General features: G+C 43.3%; 1 protein-coding gene across 22 annotated transcripts in view, besides 2 other annotated features; it reads left to right on the top strand.

Annotated features, from left to right (window-relative positions):
* Positions 1–26,744, top strand: part of LARGE1 (LARGE xylosyl- and glucuronyltransferase 1) — an 856,162-nt gene that overhangs the window by 121,421 nt on the left and 707,997 nt on the right. The window lies entirely within an intron of this gene.
* Positions 18,216–18,716: an enhancer, noted in NCBI's record as "H3K4me1 hESC enhancer chr22:34178675-34179175 (GRCh37/hg19 assembly coordinates)". NCBI's record gives its function as "activates a minimal SCP1, AML or CMV promoter by ChIP-STARR-seq in naive H9 embryonic stem cells {active_cell/tissue: H9 hESC(naive)}" and the evidence as "EXISTENCE:reporter gene assay evidence [ECO:0000049][PMID:30033119]".
* Positions 21,125–21,626: an enhancer, noted in NCBI's record as "H3K27ac hESC enhancer chr22:34175765-34176266 (GRCh37/hg19 assembly coordinates)". NCBI's record gives its function as "activates a minimal SCP1, AML or CMV promoter by ChIP-STARR-seq in naive H9 embryonic stem cells {active_cell/tissue: H9 hESC(naive)}" and the evidence as "EXISTENCE:reporter gene assay evidence [ECO:0000049][PMID:30033119]".

Raw genomic sequence — 26,744 nt, 5'->3', positions numbered from 1 at the left:
AATGAATACGATAAAATTTGCTGACAATATCAGATGCTGGTGAGGTTGCAGAGAAACTGTGTCTTTGGTGGGAATGTAATATGGTATGACCATCTGTCAATTTCTTAAAAAGTTAAATATATACCATATGTATTAGTACATTTTCATGCGGCTGATAAAGACATACCTGAGACTGGGAAGAAAAAGAGTTTTAATTGGACTTACAGTACCACATGTCTGGGGAGGCCCCAGAATCATGGTGCGAGGCAAAAGGCACTTCTTACATGGCGGCGGCAAGAGAGAAATGAGGAAGAAGCAAAAGCGGAAACCCCTGATAAACACTTCAGATCTTGTGAGACTTACTCACTATCATGAGAATAGCATGGGAAAGACTGGCCCCCATGACTCATTTACCTCCCCCGGGTCCCTCCCACAACACATGGGAATTCTGGGAGATAAAATTCAAGTTGAGATTTGGGTGGGGACACAGCCAAACCATATCACCGTATGATCCAGAAGTCACACTTCCAGAAAAATGGAAACTTGTGTTTATAGAAATACCTATACACAAATCTTTTTAAGAGTTTTATTTGTAATAGCTCAAAACTTATAAACTACCCCAAAGTCCTTAACAGGTGAATGAATGAACAAAATGTATATCCTTGCAGTTGAACACTACTCAGCGAGAAAAAGGAATGAACTTGATGCGTGCAATAACTGAGATGGGGCTAAAGGCTATTACGTTGAGTGCAAAAAGCCAGTCTCAAAAGGTTAGAGACTATATGGTTCTGTTTGTACAACCTTCTCCCAATGACAGAATTATAGAGCATAGGAAAAGATCAGTGGTTGCCAGGGACTAGGGTGGGGTGTGAGTATAATGGGGTAGCATAATGGAGTTTCTTCAGGATGATAGAACAGTTCTGTATCTTGATTGTGATGGTGGTTGCACAAATCTGTACATGTGATAATATTTCATAGAACTACACACAAATACAAAAAAGCCTGAATGTATGCAAGAACTAATAAAATCTGAATAAGGTCTGTGGTCTAATTAATTGTATCTTGCTGATGTTACTTTCATGATTTTGATAATTATAGTTATATAAATTATCACCATTGGGAGGAAACTGGATGAAGGGTACACAGGACCTCTCTGTACTATTTTTGCAACTTCTTGAGAGTCTATAATTTCAAAATGAAAATAACTGTAAAGTTAAAAAACACACAGGGAGGTAGGTATTTAGCAGTCAGAGCTTTTGATATAATCCTTGCCTGCAAGGGGCTTACTATTTGATTGGCAGGGTTTGGTGTACTCACATTAAACTTTTGGAACGGAATGAGTCAGGGGATAGCAAAAAGCTTAGCTTCATGTCTTAAATGAAGCTTAGCTTAGATGTCTTAAAAATTAAAGCAAGCCATAAGTGCGTGGGACAGCGAGGATCTTCTTCTTCCCTATTTCCTGGCTAAATAGAGCCCACCACATGCACATGTGAGCACACATGGTCTCAGCAAATTCTAGTTCCTACTTCAGATCCTAGCTCTTCTATGACCTTATCTATGGAGAGGTCTGTATTTTCATTCTCCCCTGAACCAACTATGTCCCCATACCAATACACAAAGTCTTCTTCCTCCATATTACCAAACTCTCCGTTTTCAGTCACTCTTGCTTTTGTTTGTGAGAATGTTCCTTATTGACCGGGCACGGTGGCTCACTTCTGTAATCCCAGCACTTTGGGAGGCCGAGGCGGGCAGATTGCCGAGGTTGGAAGTTCGAGACCAGCCTGACCAACATGGAGAAACCCCGTCTCTACTTAAAATTAGCCGGGCGTGGTGGTGCATGCCTGTAATCCCAGCTACCTGGGCAGCTGAGGCAGGAGAATCGCTTGAACCCAGGAGGGGGAGGTTGTGGTGAGCCAAGATTGCACCACTGCCCTCCAGCCTGTGCAACAAGAGCAAAACAACTTCTCAAAAAAAAAAGAAGTTTCTTATCTGTATATGTTTACAAAAACAGCCATCCCTTTTTGTTAAGGAGTTAGTTGTAGATTTGTTTGTCCCCACCACATGGATTATGGCTTTGTTTTCTCAGCAGCAGTGCCTGGTCATAGCCCGGCTCCAGAAATGCTGCTTAACTGATCAAACAGTGGGCAGTGGTATGCCCGTCTCCAGATGCTTAGTCTAACTTCACGTGGATAGGCTCGCATCCTACCCACGGGATTGCAGGTGTTTCTTTGGCGTGATACTCCACCACTGAGAACATTTTGCAAGGTACCAGGCATATCTCTGGCTCTCCATCCATGCATGGATCAAGCTGCTATCAGTAACTTCCTGGAGAAAAAGAAACTCCAGGAATCTGGAGGAATAATACTAGATAAAATTGTCCAAATTATCCATGCACACCAGAAGCTCAAATTGAATACTGTAGATGGCCAGGGTCCACAGTGTTGTTGTTTTTAATGGGATGCAGTAGTGTTGGGTGGAAAGCTGAAATGCCTGACTTTTAAGGTTCCTTCCAATTCAGAATTTTTATGGTTTTGCTGTAGGATGTATGTGCTCGTGCTCCATTTTAGAGCAGCACGGAAAGCCCTCCTGGAGGATTCCTCCGGATGAAAGATTTAGGGTGGGGTCATGGTGTCTGCATTTGCAGCCTGTGTCATGGACCCAATGAAGCTAGTGAGGTGCCAGTTTTTCTTTGTGCATATTCTTCCAGTGTGTCAAGGAGCTTGGGGTGCAGGGACCTGAATGATTACACCATCCTCTTCAGATCATATCTTTGAAAAACGTGTCAAGGTCCTATGTCCGGGGTTTGGAGCAGCAGTGCCAGCGTGGAACACTCCTGTTGCGAAAAAGCCATGTGTGTTGGTAAAGATGGAGAAAAGCAGGATGTGGTCATCCAGTGAGCACTCCAGTGGTTGCTCCTTCTGTCAGCTCTCCCTTTCAAGCCGTCGGGATCCCAGAAGCTTTCACTGTGTTCCTTTTTAACTTGTACATTTCATCATGTAATATACATGTTTATTTGTAGAGGGAAATGCAGAGTATGTGCATGTGTGTAATACCTATACTCACTATTTCAGACATTGCTAGGTACTTTAATATCTAGGTACTTCATTTGATTGATTGATTGATTGATTGATTGAGAGACAGAGTTTCGCTCTTGTCTCCCAGGCTGGAGTGTAACGGCCAGATCTCGGCTCACTGCACCCTCTGCCTCCCAGGTTCAAGCAATTCTCCTGCCTCAGCCTCTGAGTAGCTGGGCTTACAGGTGCCTGCCATCACGCCCGGCTAAATTTTGTATTTTTAGTAGAGACGGCTATTTCAGTAGAGACGGGTTTTCGCCATGTTGGCCAGGCTGGTCTCAAACTCTTGACCTCAGGTGATCCACCCACCGTGGCCTCCCTAAGTGCTAGGATTACAGGTGTAAGCCACTGCACCCGGCCAATGTCTAGGTACTTTAATGTGTAGGTACGATAGCATTTATTGCTTTACGTAATTCATGCAACACCTCTGTGCATTAGGATTATGATCCTCATTTTATAGGTGAGCCACATGGGAGTGAGGCGAGGAGGGATGGTTAGGTTACGGTTGTAAATGGCAAAGCTGAGATAAGACTCAAAATCAGTTTATCTTCAGAACCATTTTGCAAGTAAGGGAGGATCCCAGATCTCAAAGTGCCTGTATCAGTTAGGATGCCTTTGTGCCTTTGGTTGTGAGAAGCAGACTCTACAAACTGGCTTATGCAGGTGAGGGAATATACTGGAAGTTTGCCATAACTGAGAACTCCAGAGGCAGAACCAGCTTAGGGGAGATTGGTCAGGGCTGTCACTTGTCTCCTGCGGTTTCCTAGGCTCTGTCCTCTTCCATGTGCTTCTCCTCTGCCTCCAACCACCGTTGGCTCCTCCATCATTGGAGTAACTCTGGCTCATGCCCATTGGAATCAGTCACTATGGCAAGGGAGCTTTGATTGTACTGGTTGTGTAGGTTAACACGATGGTTTTACACAACCATCTGTAAAATTTGGGATGGTGGGATACCTCCCCAGACCCAGACTTCTGGACACCCTAGATCGTTTTGGGAAGAAGAAAGAGGAGAAAATACCTGTCAACAATGCCCAAAGGCAGAGAAAGGTGGAGCTAAGGGCTTGGTGAAGGGGAGCTGAGAAGGGAGGAGGTGCAGGCTAGGGAAGGCGAATGAACTGGCTGGAGGGGTGCCCCCTTCTTGTCTTTTTCCTCTGCTTGCTTCTGTGCCAACTTACATACCTAGCCATTCACGGGTCCATCACCCTCTTCTGTCCCTGATGTTCTTTGCCAAGCTCCCACTCTCTTTAATTAACAACTTTGGAGATGCTTTTAGAAGAGCCCAAGTCTGGCCAGGCATGGTGGCTCACGCCTGTGATCCTAGCACTTTGGGAGGCTGAGGCAGGCGGATCACTTGAGGTCAGGAGTTCAAGACCAGCCTGGCAAACTTGGTGAACCTTGTCTCTACTAACAATGCAAAAATTAGCCAAGTGTGGTGGTGTGCCCCTGTAATCCCAGCTACTCGGGAGGCTAGGGTAGGAGAATTGCTTGAACCAGGGAGGCGGAGGCTGCAGTGAGCTGAGATCTCCAGCCTAGGAGACGGAGCGACATCCCATCTCAGGGGAAAAAAAAAAAAAAAAAAAAAAGCCCAAGTCTTACTGTGTCACCTTTAAGGTAAAAATCTCCCCTCCTCCTCCACCTGGCTCTGTTTCTTTGCATTTTCCAAGGTCTTCCACAAGAGGGACTTTGCTGTTTTCTTTCTGCAGTTTCTTTAATGGTGTGTTGGTATGGTGCTTTTGGTGGGATAATTTTACTTGGAAAATAATGTTTCTGACCCATGTCCTTCTTTGATTGATTTTTTAAAGATTTATATTTTGCTTTTCTTACGAGTCTTCTGGATTATTTTGGGTGTTTCTCTCTTTTTTGTTTTCCCTGGGAATTTGAGTCTAGCGGGGGCTCAAAAGAGGTTCATTTCGCTAGTGGCTTTGCCTGGTGTCCTCCCAGTCAGAAGTCGGCGACGCTGGTCAGTGGTGCAGCCTTCTCTCCAAACTCTGTCTGCCTTCCTCTTTTCTGATATTCTGAATCCCTAGCTGCGTATTCTCCACTTCTCGTTGAAACCAACTCTTAGAAAAAGGGCTGATGACATGTTAAATTAGCTACTTTGAGTATGTATGTGTATGGATGTATACCCGAGTAATACTCAAACTCTTAATTTGTTTTAATTATTATGCCTTGATTAGGTTATTTAAACTTCAGAACTCCTGTGAGGTACATACAAATGCCACATTTTACACATGAAGAAACTGAGGCCCAGAGATGTCAATTGACTTGCATCAAGTCAGTTTAGAAATAGCAAAGGTGGGATTTGAACCCAGGTAGTCTCTGGCTCCACAGCCTATGTTCTTTTTTTTTTTTTTAATACTTTAAGTTTTAGGGTACATGTGCACAATATGCAGGTTTGTTACATATGTATACATGTGCCATTTTGGTGTGCTGCACCCGTTAACTCGTCACTTACATTAGGTATATCTCCTAATGCTATCTCTCCCACCTCCCCCCACCCCACGACAGACCCCAGTGTGTGATGTTCCCCACCCTGTGTCCAAGTGTTCTTATTGTTCAATTCCCACCTATGAGTGAGAATGTACAGTGTTTGGTTTTCTGTCCTTGCAATAGTTTGCTGAGAATGATGGTTTCTAGCTTCATCCACGTCCCTGAACGCATCCTTTTTTAGGGCTGCATAGTATTCCATGGTGTATGTGTGCTACATTTTCTTAATCCAGTCTATCATTGATGGACATTTGGGTTGGTTCCAAGTCTTTGCTATTGTGAATAGTGCCGCAGTAAACATACGTGCGCATGTGTCTTTATAGCAGCATGATTTATAGTCCTTTGGGTATATACTCAGTAATGGGATGGTCCACAGCCTATATTCTTAACCACTATGTCTAGTGTGTTTCTCTCTTTGTCTCTCTCTCTCCCTCTCCCTCCTAAAACTTCTTATACATAGATCCGTTAATGTGTATATATAGTCATGGTTGCTGCAAGGATCAAGTTATTTGCGTCTGTGTAAACCTACATATAAGTAAGTAGTGGTAGTAATTATTATGGCTGTTAATGAAATACTTACTGTATACCAGCAATTATGCTAAGTGTTAAGTACTTAAATTCTCCCATGCTGAGCTTTCAGCAGCCCTACAACTTGTTACTGTATTTATCCTACTCCTACTTTTTAGATGAAATTGGGTTTTAGGATTAATTTATACCAGATTACACAGTTTACAAAGACGGAGACTGAATTCAAACCTCTTTAAAGACTAGTTCTCTTAAAATAGGATCAGCAACAACTCTTACCATTCATTGAGTCCTATGACATGCTGAAGGTAAAGGAAAACAATGCTGACGCAGTCTCACTTCAAGCATCCTCTGAGGGAGTTTGGCCTCATTTTATATGAATAGTGTTCCTTTTTACTCTTGAAATTGTCCCATTTTAAGGCCGGGCACGGTGACTCACGATGGTAATCCCAGCACTTTGGGAGGCGGAGGCAGACGGATCACCTGAGATCAGGAGTTCAAGATCAGCCTGGCCAATATAGTGAAACCCTATTTCTACTAAAAATATAAAAATCAGCTGGGTGTGGTGGCACGTACCTGTAATCCCAGCTACTCGGGAGGCTGAGTCAGGAGAATTGCTTGAACCCGGGAGCGGAGGTTGCAGTGAGCCGAGATCGTGCCACTGTGCTCCAGCCTGGGCGACAGAGCGAGACTCCATCTCAAAAAGAAAAGAAAGAAATTTTCCCACTTTGAGGAAATGAGTCTGTGGTTTCTGGATGGATAAGAAAACTGAGTTTAGAGAATTTGTGCCACTTGTCCAAGGCCACACAGCAGTAAAAGGATAGACTGGGGTTGGAACTCTGGTCTGTCTGAAGAGGCCAGGCTCTTCACCCTGACAGTTGCCTGGCTTCTGGTATTTGCTGCCTTCTTGCTCCTCTTCGAGAGCAGTTCTGGCTTTAAAAACAAGTTCTGTGGGCAGAGGTACTCCATGCCCCAGCCTGAGCCCTTGGGGCCCACCTGGGATTGGTGGTGTCTGGGCGATCTCAGGGTTCCCTTCTTTCTTCCCTCCCTCCTGAGAAGAATCAGACTCAGACACCATCTTTTGTGGTCTAGTGTTTGGGAAAAGACGGCTGCACAGTCTCCACCAGCATTTGCAAATTATTCACAAATTATATGCACAGACACATGGGGCCCAACTACATACGTCGCAGACTTGAATGTGGGTCCTGGGAAGCTTCTGGATATGTGAGTTTGGGGGTTGGGCATCCCATCTAGCATAAACTTACCATCTTCATGCTTGCAGCCTTGCAATATACAGGCCCTGTTTTCCCCTCAACATTAATAAACTTTATTTTCCCTGCAGTTGTAGGAGACAGAGGCTCTATAGAAAACTTACAAATGAAAACATATTCTTTTGGAAAAAAAAATTATGGTTATCAATTCCTTCTTTATTAGTTTTCTTTTATTTTTAGATCCATTTGCATGAAAGCAAGAGATTCTCACACCACCCCCTCTTTGTATGATTATGACAGAGAGGCAATAAGAGGACAGATTCTTATGAAAAAAAAAAAGTTGGGGGGTGCTTGCCTTATTTGAGAAAACAGAGATCTGCAGTGATGAAGCTACACATACCACATAGCTTAAGAGAGGAGCTGGAAAAAGTTCTATTTAGGGAGAAGGATTTTTCCTGTGTTCTTGCGGGAGGTAGGAGGGACTCTGGAAGTGACAGTAGCTATCCGTATTCTGGAATAAAAGCTGTTCTCCTGAGAAAAGAAGCAATATTCCTCACTTCTCACAGCCTGTGCCGGGTTTCAGGTTTGGGAGTGGGAATTGGACATTTGAACCTTTCATTTCCTAAATGGATTTGCAATAAATAAAACTAGAGTTAAGGCCTCATTTCAGTAAACATGGGGGAGCTGTTGGAAGCTGCTGCTCCCTGTTTCAGACGATTATCTCCCACTCAGTCCTGGTGGGCATTATGTATGCCAGGTGGGAGCGGAGACTGATTTTGTCCTTCCTCATTGAAGCCTGGAAAAGTCTAGTATCTTTTATCAGATGTGGGGTGGTTGGCTGTTTCCTTTTCTCCTCCAGCCATGATATTTTTAAAATTGACAGCCCCGTTGTGATCCAGGGTGATGAGAGAGAGACTGACATTTTAAAGTTTCAGAACATGTTTTTCAGCTCTTCTTTGGATTGCTAATGTGAATAATAATGCCACATTGAACACTTATCCTGTGCGATGCTGTAGGAGTGTGGTAAACATCTCATAAATCTTCATGGCACTGCTCGCTGCAGCATGGCCAGTCGTGGAACTCCCTGCCTCCGTCTCCTCCTCTGGGCACGCTCAGCAGCTTTCGCTGTTTGGGTGGAAAGCTGTTTGTGGATATTAAAGGAGATGGTACTTGGTCTAGAAGAGGTGCTCAATGTCAGTGTCTTCTTTAGCCCCTCCCCTGGCCCCACCTTCTCCTTTCTTTTTCCCGTGGCTGGGGTTTTGGGGAAGTCCCTGAACACAGTGAGAAAGGGGTCTGTTTTCTCCTGAGTAATTTGAAAATCTTGGCTAAGAATGGGGGAGAGAAAGGAGGGTGTGGATGCTACTAGGTGAGGGCTTGGGAACTCCTACATTTCCTATGGAGGAAGAGTTTCAAAACTTGTGTTTTTTTGCTTCTGTGCTTTGTTTTTTTTTGTTTTGAATATGTGACTTGATTATTCTGGTTTGTAACGTTGTCTTTAGGAAATGAAAGATGCCTCATTATTTTCTGATTCCCCAATATCCTGCCCTCTTAGGGGTTTCCTAGTAACAGATTTTCCTGGTTAGACCTTGCCCTCCTGTGTTAGTTCATTCTCATGCTGCTAATAAAGACATACCCCAGACTGTGCAGTTTATAAAGGAAAGAGGTTTAATTGATTCACAGTTCAGCATCACTGGGGAGGCCTCAGGAAACTTACAGTCATGGTGGAAGGGGAAGCAAGCACATCCTTCTTCACATGGCGGGAGCAAGGAGAAGTACCAGCAGGGAAAATGCCAGACACTTATAAAACCATCAGAACTCCTGAGACACACTCATTATCACGAGAATAGCATGGGGGTAACCACCCCTTGTGATTTGATTACGTCCTAACAGGTCCCTCCCATGACATGTGGGGATTATGGGAACTACAGTTCAAGATGAGATTTGGGTGGGGACACAGCCAAAGCATATCACCTCCTAACAAGTATAATCCTAGGTTGTCTGTGGCCATAGTGCGTTCTGTTTTACCGAATTGACGTCTCTGAGTCTGAACACTGGTTCTGCTGCTAAGTGCTCCTGGACTCTGAGGCTCTGCATTTAGGCTCTCTGGGCATCTATTTCTCACATAGAAAAGGGAACAGATAATAAAAAAGCCTACCCTGTGGGGCTGTTGTGAGTAGTAAACGAGGTAATGTTATCAAGTGCCTGTCTTAGCATGCAGTATGCACTTCACAAATAAGACACATAAAAATTTCTTTTTCCCTTGGACACAAGACTTAGAGTATTTTTCCTAGGATGATGGTGGTAGTTGTGAGTAGTAATATGAGTAGCAATGGCACTAGTGCTGGCAGTAATAGTGGTAGCACTAGTGCTGGTGGTCATAGAAGTAGTAAGCCTTTGGCTTGGCTTCCATAATGAAAGTCTATAATGATTTCTATATAATAATCTCTGCTCTTTAGCAGCATTTTTCCAACAGAAATTTATCCATAAAGTGCCCAATAACCTAATGATAAGGCATTGTTAGCAGTGAGATATTCCATACAAATGAATTTTCAGATGAAGTGGCACTTTTCCCTTTAGGCAGCAACATTTCTAAACACAAAATGAAACCAAAGAGGCATAATGATTTTGTGGAAAATGTTCTAAGCTAGTATTTTTCTTCCTTTGCAAACAGAAAAGACTGAAAATAATTAAATTTTTTTGTAATATGACTCAGTTCCCCTTTGTGCCATATTATAATCCATGGAAATTACTGAGTTGTGCAGAAGAGTTTACTCCTAGGGTATACGGCCCCAAAGGATCATGCTTTTTTAATTCTTGAGACTGCTCTTTGTTCTTCTTTTTTAATTTTTTTGGCCAGCCATAAGGATACTACGCAGACATGCTCACCATTCCTAAACTTCCTGGGGAAAGTTTAAAGGTGGCTACAGCCTTTCCAGTGTACAGCACAAAGACATTTTAATTTTAATGATTTATCTCGCTCATGAGCTTTTCTCATTTACTTATAGAATAAAGTTTTCATTCTTCATTTAGAAGGCTTTTCTTTATAACTAGTACAAGTTATAAAACAGACCATCTATCCTTTATATTCTCTTAAGAAATTTGTGTTTGTGGTAGGTAAAATGAAAAGTTACTGCCGTTGTTTTTGGTAGAATTTACCTGGTGTTCACCTTGAAAGGATATGTGCTTGTGGGCCTTTTAAAGCAAAAACAAAATAAAAAAAGGATTGAAACTTCTGAAGTTATCTAAATAAATATTCTTGGTATGTATTGCTGTGAAAACAAAATTCAACAGAGCTTTTAGATGTACATGTCAGTTATATCTTATATTTTGTAGAACTTGAGAAGTTGGCATGTCAGATTAGTAGATGCTCTGGATGCGGAGTTTTTCAATCTTTGTGACAGGTAGGATACATTTAAACTTTGGTCAGCTTCCGGAGAGGCATAGCCTGGTCTTTCATCATATATCTGAAGGCAAAAAGATAGATGGAAATCTCTAAGCAGTATGAATTGTAAGTATTTCTGTTGAGTTATAAATACCTCAAGGAAAAGAACCATCTTAGTTTTCTTTTATTCACTTAACAAATATATATTGGCTTTTGAAGTGGTTGAGTGTAGAGTTCTAGAGTTAAAAATATTTTGGACTTAAAGAAAAAAAAATTGGTTTAAATTCCTGCTGTATCCTTGGATGATTCAGTGTAGGCCAGTTTCCCTTCACAATAGTTATTGAGGGGCTACTGGGTGTCAGTTGCTATGCCAGGTGTATTAGCATGTTCTCACGCTGCTAATAAAGACATACTGGACAGTGGGTAATTTATAAAGGAAAAAGGTTTAATGGACTCACAGTTCACATGGCTGGGCAGGCCTCACAATCATGGCAGAAGGTGAATGAACAGCAAAGTCATGTCTTACATGGTGGCAGGAAAGAGAGGTTGTGCAGGGGAACTCCCATTTGTAAAATTCTCAGATCTCATAAGACTTATTCACTACCATGAAAACAGTATGAGGGAAACCCCCATGATTCAGTTATCTCCACCTAGTGCCGCCCTTGATGTGTGGGGATTATTACAATTCAAGGGGAGTTTTGGGGACACAGCCAAACCATATCATTCTGCCCTCAGCCCCTCCCAAATCTCGTGTTCTCTCATTTCAAAACCAATTATGCCTTCCCAACAGTCCCCCAAAGTCTCAACTCATTTCAGCATTAACTCAAAAGTCCACAGTCCAAAGTCTCATCTGAGACAAGGCTAGTCTCTTCCACCTATAAGCCTGTAAAATCAAAAGCAAGTTAGTTACTTCCTAGATACAATGGGAGTACAGGGCTTGGGTAAAAATTCCCATTCCAAATTGGAGACATTGGCCAAAATGAAGGAACTACAGGCCCTGTGTATGTCCGAAATCATATGGGGCAGTTAAATCTTAAAGCTCCGAAGTGATTTCCTTTGATTCCATGTCTCACATCCTCTAGGTCATGCTGATGCAAGAGGTGGGCTCCCATGGAGTTGGGTAGCTCTACCCCTGTGACTTTGCAGGGTACAGCCCCCATCCTGGCTGCTTTCACAGGCTGGTGTTGAGTGCCTGAGGCTTGGTGCAAGCTGTTGCTGGATCTACCATTCTAGGGTCTAAAGGACAGTGGCCCTCTTCTCACAGCTCCACTAGGCAGTGCCCCAGTGGGCACTCTGTGTGGGGGATCCAACCCCACATTTCCATTCCACACTGTCCTAGCAGAGGTTCTCTATGAAGGCTCTGCCCCTGTAGCAGACATCTGCCTGGACATCCAGGCATTTCCATACATCCTGTGAAATCCAGGCAGGGGTTCCCAAATCTCAATTATTGACTTCTCTTTACCCCCAGGCCCAACAGCATGTGGAAGCCACCAAGGCTTCAGCCTTGCACCCTCCGAAGCAATGGCCTGAGCTCTATGTTGGCTCCTTTTAGCCACGGCTGGGACACAGGGCACCAAGTCCTGAGACAGCAGAAAGCAGCAAGGCCCTGGGCCTGACCCACGAAACCATTTTTTCCTCCTAGGCCTCCAAGCCTGTGATGTGAGGGGCTGCTGTGAAGACCTCTGACTTGCCCTGGAGACATTTTCCTCATTGTCTTGGCAATTAACATTTGGCTCCTCATTACTTAGGCAAATTTCTGCAGCAGGCTTGAATTTCTTATCAGAAAAAGGGTTTTTCTTTTCTATTGCATTATCAGGCTGCAGATTTTCAAAACTTTTATGCTTTGCTTCTCTTGTAAACATAAATTCCAATTCCAAACCATATCTTTGTGAATACTTAAAACTGAATGCTTTTAACAGCACCCAAGTCACCTCTTGAACGCTTTGCTGTTTAGAAATTTCTTCTGCCAGATGCCCTAAATCATCTCTCTCAATCTTCTCTCTCAAGTTCAAGTTTCTACAAATCTCTAGGGCAGGGGCAAAATGTCACCAGTCTTTTTGCTAAAACCTAGCAAGAGTCACCTTTATTCCAGTTCCCAACAAGTTTCTTATCTCCATCTGAGACCACCTTAACCTGGACTTCATTGTCCATATCACTGTCAGCATTTCGGTCCAAGCCATTGAACAAGTTTCTAGGAAGTTCAAAACTTCCCACATCTTCCTGTCCTCTTCTGAGCCCTCCAAACTGTTCCAACCTCTGCCTGTTACTCAGTTCCAAAGTTCCTTCCACATTTTTTGGGTATCTTTATTGCAGCACCCCACTTCTGATACCAATTAACTGTATTCATCTGTTCTCACACTGCTAATAAAGATACACCCAAGACTGGGTAATTTATAAGGGAAATAAGTTTAATGGACTCACAGTTCCACATGGCTGGGAAGGCAAAGGAGAAGCAAAGGCACGTCTTACATGGCAGCAGGCAAGAAAGCTTGTGCAGGGGAATGCCCTTTTTTATAAAACCATCGGATCTCATGAAACTTATTCACTACCACGAGCACAGTATGGGGAAAACCGACCCCATGATTCACTTATCTCCACCTGGCCCTGCCCATGACATGTGGGGATTATTACAATTCAAGGTAAGATTTGGTTGAGGACACAGCCAACAAATAATACCAAGTATGGTGGACATAGCTGAGAACCAGCTGGATGCTTGGTCTCTGGCCTCCTGGACTTTACTGGGCAGGGTTTCATGAACTCTGTCATCCTCATATCCCTTTATAGTGTTTGGCCACATCTTCTTAAGACCTTGTTATTTACTTAAATACATTAAAGATATTAAGAAGTTTATGTCATTCTCTATAAATAGCAGGGAACCACAGGAACTAAACCATGTTCAAGTCTGGCTAGATGCTGCTACTAGCCAAAAGCTATCTGAATGGAAACTCTCAGTTCCTTCTTACCAAGTGTTGAAGGGCTGTAAGGACACACTAACAGTGTATTGAGGCTTGCCTGGAATGCATTAGAAGAATTGTCAAGGGAGGGGGTAACTTTCTCACTAAGTTCTTTTGAACTGAGAGATGAAGATTTTTAAGGCTGATGTAAATATTTGATTTTTCTCATTCTGATTGAGCTGAGTGCAACATGTTGGGAACGGCTTCATGCAGAAAGCCTGTGGTGAATGGGGTCTGGAAGAAGACTTTGGAGTTGACTTGGAAGGAAGATAGTTTGGAGGCAGGACTGGTCATAAAATCACCTTTATTTGCTTTTGAAATATTATTTTATATCAGGTGTCAAATGTAGAAATCTGAAATTCTGGAAATTAAAAGCTGTTTCAGAACAATATTGAGATATCACCCATGAAGATCCTGTCTTGGTAGGAGGAGCGTAGGGAAAATGTCCTGATCAGTGCACTCACTTATTGCCAGGGACAATAACATCACCACTGAGAATAAGGTCACCAGTCTAACTAGTGCCCCATATTCTGTAAAACTTGCCTCTCCAGTGCTTTTCCAGAGGTTTAGGTTAACCAGCAAATCAGAAGTCTCAAAGATCTTTTCTAGTTCCTGCTTGAAATTGGGTAGAAGATAATACCAGCTGTTACGTGGAAGTATAGCATGCCATTCACTTAACGTGGAATGAAGCAAAACATTCTGAGAGGGAAGACCTATTACAGTGCATGTGTACCATTATCTTACTTTTTCTTTCTTTTTTTTTTTTTTTTTGAAATGGAGTCTCACTCTGTCACCCAGGCTGGAGTGCAGTGGCACAATTTCGCCTCACTTCAACCTCTGCTTCCCGGGTTCCAGTGATTCTCCTGCCTCAGCCTCCTGAGTAGCTGGGTCTACAGGCAGGCGCCACCACGCCTGGCTAATTTTTGTATTTTTTAGTAGAGACGGAGTTTCACTATATTGGCCAGGCTGGTCTCGAACTCCTGACCTGGTGATCCGCCCACCTTGGCCTCCCAAAGTGCTGGGATTACAGGCGTGAGCCACTGCGCCCAGCCTATCTTACTGTTAAGCTGTAATGGTGTTATAGGCAGGACAGGTATTTGGTACTGAGGAAGGCTCTTCAAGGATGTGAGAATTAAGCTGAGTGAGACCTGAGGGAAATGCCAGGGGACCCCCTCAGGAGGGGAGGCTCTGAAGGGAGGAGAATTCTCGGAGACCCTCTGGAGGGAGTAGGGAGAGAGAGAGGTCCCCAACCTCCTTCTGAGGCACCTCTTTATAAGGTTGGAATATTTTGTACTGTTTCCTATCTCTTGGAGAGAAGAGTCCACCCTTTCCCAGGTAACCTGTCTCAGCTTTGGAGAGGCTGAGATGGAATTCCAGGGACCAAATCTAATTAATTCCTCAAAAGAGAAGTGCCTTTTGGGAGTAGCAATATTGAATCTCACTTTGATAGCTCCTGGTGGAGCAATTTGGAGAGAATATATTGGGGATGCTTTTTTCCAATTAATATGCTTGAATAAGAACTTTGGTGCTCCTTTGCAGTATAAAATGAATGTATAGTAAAAATAAGAGCCTTTTTCTTCTAAGAAGGGCCTTATTAGAACTTGGAAAGCCACCTTCCCTGTCTTCCCAGCACCTGAATACTGTGCCCTACTTATGCCCAAAAGACAATGTACTTCTTGAGGAATTTTTGTAATTTAGAAGCATGTTTTTGCTACCTACAGGATTAAAAAAATAAAAATAATAAAGATGCTGTCAGACTTGGCCTCCAGGCAATTTAGTGCTGCCTGTGGCTTCTGGTACTGTGCATTTTAAACAGTCCTGCCTCTTCTCCTTTTTATTTTTTTACCACCCTGCCCTGGTTATGGCAACTTAATACAGCATGTCTAAATATCTACCCCTTGTTTGCACAGAAATAGTGCACAAATTAGATAAAATGGCATTTCCTTTCTCTCTTGACAGCTTGGAATTTTTTTTTAAGTGGCTTTGACAAGATTCAGGGCCAAATTATGAAATCACCAGGTGACCCTTTCCGTTCATCAGCTGCTAATGAACTTAGAAAATTGAGATCTCATCTGGCAGACAAACTCATTTTGTTTGACAAGCAGCTTAAAAGTATTTGTAAATGAACAAATTATGTTTTTTTTCCCCTCCAGTTGGCCCTGTGATCACTACACATGGGTTTTACAGTTTTGTTTGTTTCTTTTTTAAACTTGTCAGAGGTCTGTAGAAACCAGGCACTGGGTTTCTTCCTGTCTTGATTCCTTTCATGTTGTGCATTGTTAGCCTAGGGTAGGTGATTCACACTAGCCACTCTGGTAGTAATCGGTTAGGGTATTAGAAAGAGTGCTGGATGTGAAACAGGCAGGCCTGGGGTGAGATACTGTTCACCCGTTACTCATCGAGTGACTTTATGAGTTGTGTAACATCTGAATACTTCAGTTTTCTAATTCATAAAATGGATGGCTAATTTAAGTGGGGTGTGTGTGTATATATATACACATATATACGTATATATACACATATGCACATATACACATGCATATATACACATATGTATGTATACACATATATGTATATACACATATGTATGTATACACATATATGTATATACACATATGTATGTATACACATATATGTATATACACATATGTATGTATACACATATATGCATATACACATATGTATGTATACACATGTATATACACATATGTATGTATACACATATATCTATATACACATGTATGTATACACATATATGTATATACACATATGTATGTATACACATATATGTATATACACGTACACATATGTATGTATACACATGTATATACCCATGTACACATGTATACACGTGTATATACATATATGTATATACACACACATATAATATACAGTATATATACTGTACAAATATAGTATAAATACGTACAAATATAAACTGTCTATGTGTGTATATTATACATATATGTGTATATACATATGTGTATGTGTGTATGTATACTATATGGTATACATACTGTATGAATATATGGTATATATATTGTTTATGTACAAATATAAACTCTGTATGTGTGTATATAAATAAAATAAAGATTCATTTTGTGCATATTAGTACCTGTGACTGTCTCCTGAAAGCAGAACAGACTTCTTTGAGGGTAGAATGCCACTTTTATTCTAACTTTTCAATACATTATTGATCTTGCACCGGAGCACCTAAACTCTGAACTGGTTTAAAAAGTGAATTAGGGCACTAGAAATCCTTACCTTCCATTTTTGTTCCCTCAAATTTAAGCGAGAAGTTAGTAGTTCTTTAGTTAACTTCCAGGAGCTCCCACGCTATACACAGGCCATATGGTGACAAATAGACATTCTGGAGTCAGATTGCTGGGTTTATATTTTTGTTCCATCATTTACTGGCTTGTGACTTCGAGCAAATTGCTTTATTTCCTCTTCTATACATTGGGGATAGTATTAACTAATTTACAGGGTTGGATTTTAGTAAGACAACGTATGTGAAGCACTCATGTATGTAGAGCTTGGCATTGCAGAAAGATACTGCTCAGTATATGATAGAAAATACTACTGCAAGTCGTAATGTTATTGGTTTATTCATTAGCAGAAAGCAATTGTTGCAGTTGTTAAACAAAACGAAACGAAAAGCCATTCTAATTAAGCAGAGTCTAGTGAGAGCTCAGAGGAGTCTGAGTTGGTTTTACCAAAGAGGAGGTCTCTGAAGGATGGATTGGAGGTAATCTTGGATCTGCCATGCACTAAAAGGGGAAAAAGAAAAAAGAAAGAGAGAGATTGTCTTAGTGATTTGGAACTGATTGGCCTTACCAACTTGGAAGCTCCTTTTAAACACATAGGTCCTTTTTAGAGCCCATTGAGGAAAGACCACTCTAATCTCCCTCTACCGCCCACTACTTCCACTACTTCCAGTAGAGCCTGGTGGTCAATAACCACCAGGGAAGTTAGAGCCCGTTCTGCAGCAGTGATTGTCAGAATCATGCAGTGGCACCAGCACTGCCATTCTCTTATCCTGCGACCATATCCTTGGCTGGGTTGCAAGCAATTTCTCATATGTAGTAGGCCACAATGGATACTTGTTTGATTAAATCAACAACAACAACAATAACAACAAAACACTGCTCTTCTGTCTGGAGAGTACTTTTAGTAGACACCTCTTCTTCCTTTCATGATAACTCTCCATACAAATTTGTGTTTTTTGAGATGGAGTTTCGCTCTGTTGCCCAGGCTGGAGTGAAATGGCATGATCTCAGCTCACTGCAACCTCCGCCTCCCAGGTTCAAGCGATTCTCCTGCCACAGCCTCCCAAGTAGCTGGGATTACAGGCACCCGCCACCATGCCCAGCTAATTTTTGCATTTTTAGTAGAGATGGGGTTTTGCCATGTTGGCCAGGCTGTTCTCGAACTCCTGACCTCAGGTGATCCACCGCCTCAGCCTCCCAAACAAATTTTTAAATATCTCAGCCTTCTAGTCCCTTTTCCCATGATTTGGCTATAATCTCAAACTGCTCTTGCAAATTTTTTTTTTTTCTGAAGAAACATAGTGCTCAAAGAGACTCTCATCACTCTGATGAGAGAGAAACAGATCCAGTGGATTAACGTGTTTTGCTAAGTGCTGTGATAGGAGACCTAGAAAACAAGCTTTTGGCCCTTTATATGATCTTGAGGGAATCTCCTGACCTTTTGGATACTTAGTCTTTTCGTCTGTAAATTGAGTACCATAGCATTTGTGTCACAGCATTACAATGCCAATTAAATCAGGCCGAAGCACTGTAGTGTATGGCCTGACACGCTACGGTCTGGAAATTTCTCAGGAAAAATAAGGGTGTGATGAGTGGAAGTGGAACACTCCCTCTCTCTCTCTCTTTTTTTTTTTTTTTAAACTTGATTTTGTTTTTTTGGAGACAGAGTCTCACTCTGTTGCCAGGCTGGAGTGCAGTGGCGTGATGTTGGCTCACTGCAACCTCCACCTCCCGGGTTCAAGTGATTCTTCTGCCTCAGCCTCCCGAGTAGCTGGGATTACAGGCACGCACCACCACGCCCAGCTAATTTTTGTATTTTTAGTAGAGACGGGGTTTCACCATGTTGGCCAGGATGGTCTTGATCTCCTGACCTCGTGATGCGCCCGCCTCGGCCTCCCAAAGTGCTGGGATTGCATGCATGAGCCACCGCGCCCAGCCCAATTTGATTCTTTATTTTGGTAGTAGCTAATCTATGTGATGAAGCCCTGACTCTTCATTGTTCTCGTGTCACTGATGTAAAACAACAACACATTTAAATGTGTGTTTAAAATGTACAATTCATATAATGTACAATTTAGTGGTTTTTAGTATTTTCACAAGGTTGTGTGATTGTCACAACGAATTCCAGAACATTTTCCTCACTCCCAAAAGAAACCCCATATGCATTATCAGTCACTGCCACTCTCCTCTTATTCTAGCTCCTGATAACCATGTTCTGTCTCTGTGGATTTGGACTGGGAGAGACATAAAGGATAGGGGCTACTCTCCCTCCCGTCTTAAATGCGTCTCAGTCATGAACCTTGCCATATTTTAGTGCTTTAAACATTTTTAAAAATAGTTGATTTGAGGAGGAGGAGGATAAAACAAACAGCAGAACCCAAAAAGAAGAACTCGGACTCCAGACTTAATTCTATCCTTTGCCCTCTGGCTAACTTTGGATATGCCAATTCTTTGTCTGAGCCTCATTTTCCCCATGCAGATAATTTACATTGTATTAGAGAACTACCTCCTCCCCAAGCTCTCTTTCAGGCTTAAATTCAGTGATCTTGAGTCTGTGTGTGTGTATATATATATATGTATATACACACACACACATTGATTTTCTTTTACCATGTGCTGGTTCTTTCAGTCTCTTGCTGCTTTCTGTTATCCACGGAGCTGGCATTGCTTTCTATTTTTATCAGTGTACTATTTAAATATAGAAATAAATATCTTATGTATATCTATTTGTGTGTGTGCATAAAGCAGTGGAATTTATGGACTAATGCGGTCACTTACGTAAATTACTTAGCACGGGGTTTGGCACATACTAAGTGCTAGATAAGTATTATTTGCTAGGTGAGTGATGGGTCACCCTGGGGTAGACCAGTTGACATTTGCTCATATGGAACTTGTTCAGTGAATTGTCCTAAGTGATCACAGCTGGAAGCTGCCTTGGTCTTTGGATGGGGCTTCTGCTGTCTGCATTCTTTCCTCTTTGCTTTCACTAGTTTCTGGAACACGTCAGTGTGAATTTTTTTTTAAGGCAGAGTCTCGTTCTGTTGCCCAGGCTGGAATGCAGTGGTGCAATCTTGGCTCACTGCAACCTCCACCTCCCAGGTTCAGGTGATTCTCCTGCCTCAGCCTCCCGAGTAGCTGGGATTACAGGCACCCACCACCATGCCTGGCTAATTTTTGTATTTTTAGTAGAGATGGGGTTTCACCTCATGTTGGCCAGGCTGGTCTTGAACTCCTGACCTCAGGTGATCTACCCATCTTGGCCTCCCAAAGTGCTGGGATTACAGGTGTGAGCCACAGCACCTGGCCGTCAGTGTGAAATTATAGATTTGGAAAAACAAATCCTGTGAGAAGAGCAATTTACCGTACCCTGCTCTCTTCAAGTGACGTGGGAAATGAAAAACGTCCAAACTAAGACAAATTTATTGGATACCAAAACCACCAGGCTATTGATTCTTAAAGCCAGACAACAAGGTTATGAATTGGGTGATAAAAATGGAAAGCATTTAGCTTGACTTCTAAGGCGGGGCAGCTTTGTGCGCTATCGCAGTTATTGGGTTCTACTGACAGCCCCACAACTAATGACCTAGCACTTATTAACCAGAGTGTTTACTCTATGTGCTACATCTGTCTAATGTGTTGTGTGAGTGAGATATATCTGAACAATTTGATTTTGTATTGAGGCCGGGGTGCCTGAGACTTACTCTGTAACTTTGAAGGCTGCAAGAACATTAGCTAAAAGTTCTTAGCTGCAGCAAGGAAAGCAAGAAATTGTTCTAAGCCCTAAATAGTTTTGCACTGCTGCAGAGGAGGGATTTATGTCTCCTGATGGGTTTTGGAATGGATAAGCAGATGTTGTGTGTTAGATGTTAGAGATCAGTTATTGAACCCACAGTTATTTTAATTTGGATGCTGAAATTCAGAGAGGCTGTGTTCATCAGGGTCATAGTCAGTTGCTGACTGAGATTTCCTAAAGCTTGGCTTCATGCTCCTTCTTTCACACCATTCAGACTGTTGAGGCCTGTGGCAGCTGTCAAGACCGTGCTGTCCATCCTCCAGCTGCCTGGAGTGAGCCCCACTGCTCTTCGACAGGGGCTGCTGGGGACTGGGTATCACTGACCCCGTGGAACTGAAATGCCTCTTTTTGACTCTGTCTCACAGTGGTTTACTTGTGTCTTTTACTCGATGGTGCAGGTAACTGTTATGGGTTGAATTCTGTCTCCAGAATTCATATGTTGAAGTTCCAAGCCTCAGTGCCTCAGAATGTGACCTTATTTGGAAATGGGGTTGTTGCAGATGCAATTAGTTGAGGTCATCCTGAAGCCACTTGGGTCCTTAATCCATTACAACCAGCGTCCTTGTAACGGGAAGTTTGGACACAGACGTGCACACAGGCACAATGTCGCGTGAAGGTTGGAGTTGTGTTGCCACAAGCTAAGGTCCTACCAGGAGCTAGGAGAGAGGCCAGGAACAGATCTTTCCCCAGCGCCTTGAGAGTGAGCGTGCCCTGTTCACACCATGATCTTGAACTTCTAGCCCACAGAACTGTGAGACAAGTTTCTGCTGTTTAAGCCACCCAATTTGTAGCACTGTTGTTATAGCAGCCCTGGCAAACTGACACAATAGCCCAGTGAGCATTCTATACCATGAAAGTAGAATTAGGAGAGGAAGATACAGTAGACTGTACCCTCTTACCACCCCCTAGTTCTTCTTTTTTTAATTTTTTTTTAATTTTTTTGAAACAAGAGTTTTGCTCTTGTTGCCCAGGCCAGACTGCAGTTGCGCGATCTTGGCTCACTGCAACCTCCGCCTCCCGGGTTCAAGTGATTCTGCTGCCTCAGCCTCCCAAGTAACTGGGATTACAGCACACGCCACCACACCTCCACATCTGGCAATTTTTGTATTTTGAGTAGAGATGGGGTTTCACTATGTTGGACAGGCTGGTCTCCAACTCTTGACCTCTGGTGATCCACCCACCTCCGCCTCCCAGTGTCCTGAGATTACAGGCATGAGCTACCACGCCTGGCCTTTTGTTTTAAAATGATCAAACTGTCGCTAGGAACTTGATTACTTCTCACTGTAGAGCTGCTGGGTGCCAGATTACAAGCTAGGTACTTCCTGGTTCCACTCTGTACTATTGTGTGTAATGTATGGCATATTATTTAACCTACCCTGAGCTGTGGTTGTCTGATGTGTACAATAATGGGTGGAATAATGATAGACAAATATTAGGAGTTTGGGGTGGATTAAGCACCCACCATAGAGCCAGACATATATAATGAAATAACCACCGTTCCTTGTGTGGTTCTAGAACCTTATGTGCTAAATTCTAGAAATTTAGGATCATTAATAATAACAAAGATAAATCCCATGTATGCAGAGCGAAGAGATTTAGGTAAACTTAAGAAAAGGCATTCATCTCAAACAAGTACTTACGCGCAAATGTTTGTAGCAAAACTATTCACGGTGGCCCAAAGTAAAAGCATGCCAAATATAACATCACCTGATGAATGGATAAACAAAATGTGGCCTCTCCGTGCAATGGACTATTAATCAGCTGTAAAACAGGATGCTAGGCTGGGTGCGGTGGCTCACGCTGGTAATCCCAGCACTTTGGGAGGCCAAGGCGGGTGGATCACCTGAGGTCGAGAGTTCGAGACCAGCCTGGCCAACATGGGGAAACCCTATCTCTACTAAAAATACAAAAATCAGCTGGGTATGGTGGCAGGCGCCTGTAATCCCAGCTACTGGGGAGGCTGAGGCAGGAGAATTGCTTGAACTCAGGAGGCGGAGGGTGCAGTGAGCCGAGATTGCGCCACTGCACTCCAGTCTGGGCGACAGAGCGAGACTCTTTCTCCAAAAAAAAAAGGATACTGCGCTGACATGTGCTGCAACATGGATAAACCTTGGGTACATGGTGCTGAGTGAGAGGAACCAGACCCAAAAGGCCATGTGTTGAATGATCCCACATACATGGAATATACAGAGCTGCTAACTCTGTAGAGGCAGAAAGCAGATGTTGGTTGCCAGGGACGAGGAGTAAGGGAAAATGGGAGGTGACTGGTTTTCTTTCAGATTGATGGAAATGTTTTAGAATTAGATAAAGGAGTGGTTGCTCAACATCGTGAATGTACTAAATGCCATGAATTGTACTTGTTAAAGTGGTTAATGTTATGTTATGTGTATTTTGCTGCAATAAAAAGAAAAAGCCCGTCTCACTACAAGGATATTTATGTGGCTCAAATCAGGGGGTATCTTGAAACAAGGGTTAAAGGGCATTGCTGTTGGAAACCATCACACGGGGTACAGTTCAAGGTTCTTGGAATCAAGAGTCCCTGTGCTTTATCCTTATAGAGACTTTTTCTGTGACCTGAGGAAACTCATGTTTCCATCTGTCTAAAAGAATTTCTTTCCTGACTCTTTTCCTCCTGTGGTGGCTTTGGTGACCCTTTGATGACTTCTCCTTTCATTGCACCTCATAACTAAGACTGTGTCACAGGTCATCCCTGAACCAATTCTGGGCAAAGGAGATGTTGCTCTAAAGCATGAGACCAGTCATGGTTTATCCCCTGCAGCTACAGGCCCCACTCCTCAGCATAGTGTTACCCTGTGTGACTGAATCTGCAATGTGTTAACAAGGAAAGCCCCCCAAAACAGGGGCATGACTGTTGGGAGGGCCCCCAGCAGGGCATCCCAGAAGAAAGTTTCACATTGGCCTTTGGGCCTCCACCTAAACAAGCCGTTCTTGTGCTCGGCCTCAAGGTCATTAGTCCTTCCTTCCTCCCTCCCTTCACCTGCCTTCCCTTCACCTGCCTTCCCTTCCCCTGCCTTCCCTTCCCCTTCTCCTTCTCCTTCCCCTTCCCCTCCCCCTCCCCCTCCCCCTTCCCCTCCCTCCCTCTCTGTTGCCCAGACTGGAGTGCAGTGGTACCATCATGGCTCACTGCAGCCTTGACCTCCTGGGCTCAAGAGATCCTTCCACCTTGGCCTCTCAAGTAGCTGGGACTGCAGGCATGTGGCACCACACCTGGCTAATTTAAAAAATGCTTTTTTTGTAGAGATGAGGTCTCATGTTGTAGCCCAGGCTGGTCTTGAACTCCTAGGCTCAAGGGATCATCCAATCTCAGCCTCCCGAAGTGCTGGGATTACAGATGTGAGCCACGACGCCTGGCCATTGATTGTCTTAAGCACAGATCCCATCATTCCTGCTCGGAAATCTCGAGTGGCTCCCTAGGGACTGTGGAAGGAAGTTCAGATTCTCCTTCACTGAGCATTCAAGTCCTGTCCCAGTCCCATTATCTGAGTGTTCTCTGTACCTTTTCTTCTGGAAGGAGCGGTTGGTTGCCACACTGTGTGGTTCCAGCCTTTCATTTTTTCTAATGGTTCTTTCTGCCAGGAATGACTTCTCTCTCCTTCTCACTCTTTTGAAATTGTGCCATCTTCTGGCTCAGCTCATTTTTTCCTGAGAATCATGTGTCCCTGGCTCCCAACTTATGTTCATGTTTGTGGTGTTTGTGTCTGCCTGACTATCCTGTACACTCTCTTGAGGCCCCTCAAGAGCAGGGGCCCATGTGCTGACCATCTCTGCATCCCCATTCTCCAGCCCTGGACCTGGCCTAGCATGTACCCCAGTCAGTAGGTGCCTTGTGGACTGTAGTGAATGGCAAAGCGTAGAGAAAAGGTAAAGCAATAGCTGTCTTCCCTGTATCATTTGGCACCAGAGATATTTGTATGAAATCTCCCTAGGCCTTGGAACTTGGAAGAACAATACACTGCACGTTAGACAAGTCAGGACCCTTCAACACTAAGGGATGCCAGAGTGCATTTCCCAGTATTGGTCCTTGTGAAATGCTTATGTGTATTTGCTTAAGCAGAATGAAAATGTGAGGCCTGCCTGCTTACGTCGTCCGTTTCCAGAATGAAAATCGGAAGAACAAAGATCGAAATACTCCAAGGCAGGGCTTCATAGGTAGTCCCATGGATGTGATTAAGGGCTGATTTAACATTCAGAAGAAAAACATAAAAACCAGCCTTCTTGAAGCTGTAGTCTGACCTTGGGAAGAATGTATATCCTCAGGAAAGATAAATTTGCGTTAAAGACCTCTTTGGCAATGCATTGTTGAAAGAGGTTAATATTGTAAGTGGAAAATTTTGATTACTTCTCGATTCTTTCCTCCCATTTGCTTCTGTACCTGTGTCACCCCAGAGAGATCTCTATGCTAGAAGTAATGTCCACACCACCTGCCTGCCTGTGGCTCAATTAAACTTGAGTTCCTGCCCTTTTAAAGTACAATCCAGATTGTGTGCAACAATACAAAGGGTGGAAATTAAGAAAACTCATTGGGATGCAGATCAGTGCACTTCACTTCCCCAAGCCAAGGGAGATGACTCTGGAGGAAAAGATAAAGATGACCACAGTGAATTTGCAGGTCATCTTTTGTGCATGTGCTTGGTTGAAACATCCTTGGAACCTTTCAGTGAGGGAAAGGTCCTCTCTGAAGAAGTGCTTGCCTTAAACCAGGTTTTCTCAGTCTCAGCCTTATTGTCATTTGGGGCATAATCCTTCTTTGTTGTGGGACTGTCCTGTGCCTTGTAAGATGTTTATTAGCATTCCTGACCTTGACCCACCCGATGCTGGTAGCATCCCACCCTCCTGAGTCTTTTTTTTTTTTTTTTTAAGACAGTGACTTGTTCTGTCACCCAGGCTGGAGTGCAGTGGCGCGATCTCGGCTCCCTGCAACCTCCACCTCCTGGGTTCAAGTGATTCTCCTGCCTGAGCCTCCCCAGTAACTGGGATTACAGGCATGCACCACCATACCAGCTAATTTTTGTATTTTTTAGTAGAGATGGGGTTTCACCATGTTGGCCAGGCTGGTCTCGAACTCCTGACCTCAGGTGATCCACCCACTTCAGCCTCCCAAAGTGCTGGGATTACAGGCATGAGCCACTGAGCCCCGCCAACCCCCCAGTCTTAATAATCAAAATTGTCTTCACATTGCCAAATGTCCCCTGGGGTAAATTACCCCCTATTGAGAACCACTGACTTAGAGGCTCCCCATGGGGAAAAGCAGAGTTGGTGTGGGAAAGTCTAGCAGTTAAAAGAGGCAGCAGGTGGAAAGGCAGAGAAGTGTGAGGCCGCATAGCAGCTTTGCCCATGTGGTGTTCCTGGATTAGAAGGTGTGATTTGGACCATGCCAGGGTATGAAGCTGGAAAGGTCAGGTCGACAGGGATCCGATTTTGGAGGCCTTTGCTACCAAATTGAGAGAAGCACATTCAATTTGAAGCTGGAAATCTTGGGGTTATTCCCAGTGCCTCTCTTACAGCTGTGGGACCTAAGCCACTTAACCTCTTTGAACCTCAGTGCCCTTCTCTGTTAAGTGGAGTCGCACAGATGGATTGTAAAAGTTGAGTGAATTAAGGCCGTGTGAAAGTGTCAGTATGGTACCTGGGTATCCTAGTTGCCCAATAAATGTTTTCTTCTTTCCTAAGCACTGTCACATCCAGTTAAATCCGGTTCTCTATAGTTCTGCTGCCACTAACTCCTGCTGCTATTTATCCAGCCTGTATTACGGCAAAGCTTCCTGGGCTGTCTGCCTCAACTCCATTCTCAGTCTGATGTAAAGGTTTAGAAAATACTGAAACCTGCACAGTCCAGCACGGTGGCCACTAGCCCATGTGGCTCTTAAGCACCTGAAGCGTGGCTACTTCAAACTGAGATGTGCTGTCAATGATAAGATGCACTCTGTATTTGAAGACCAAGATGAGAAAAAGAACTAAAGCGCCTCATTAGTAATGCTTTATATTGATTACATGTTAACATGCTAATATATTAAGCATACTAGGTTAAATAAAATATTAAGATTAATGT

Source organism: Homo sapiens, chromosome 22, assembly GCF_000001405.40.
Source record: "Homo sapiens chromosome 22, GRCh38.p14 Primary Assembly".
NCBI classification, from domain to species: Eukaryota; Metazoa; Chordata; class Mammalia; order Primates; family Hominidae; genus Homo; species Homo sapiens.
The sequence above is the reverse complement of the archived record's forward strand: the minus strand, read 5'-3'. Positions and strand labels throughout refer to the sequence as shown.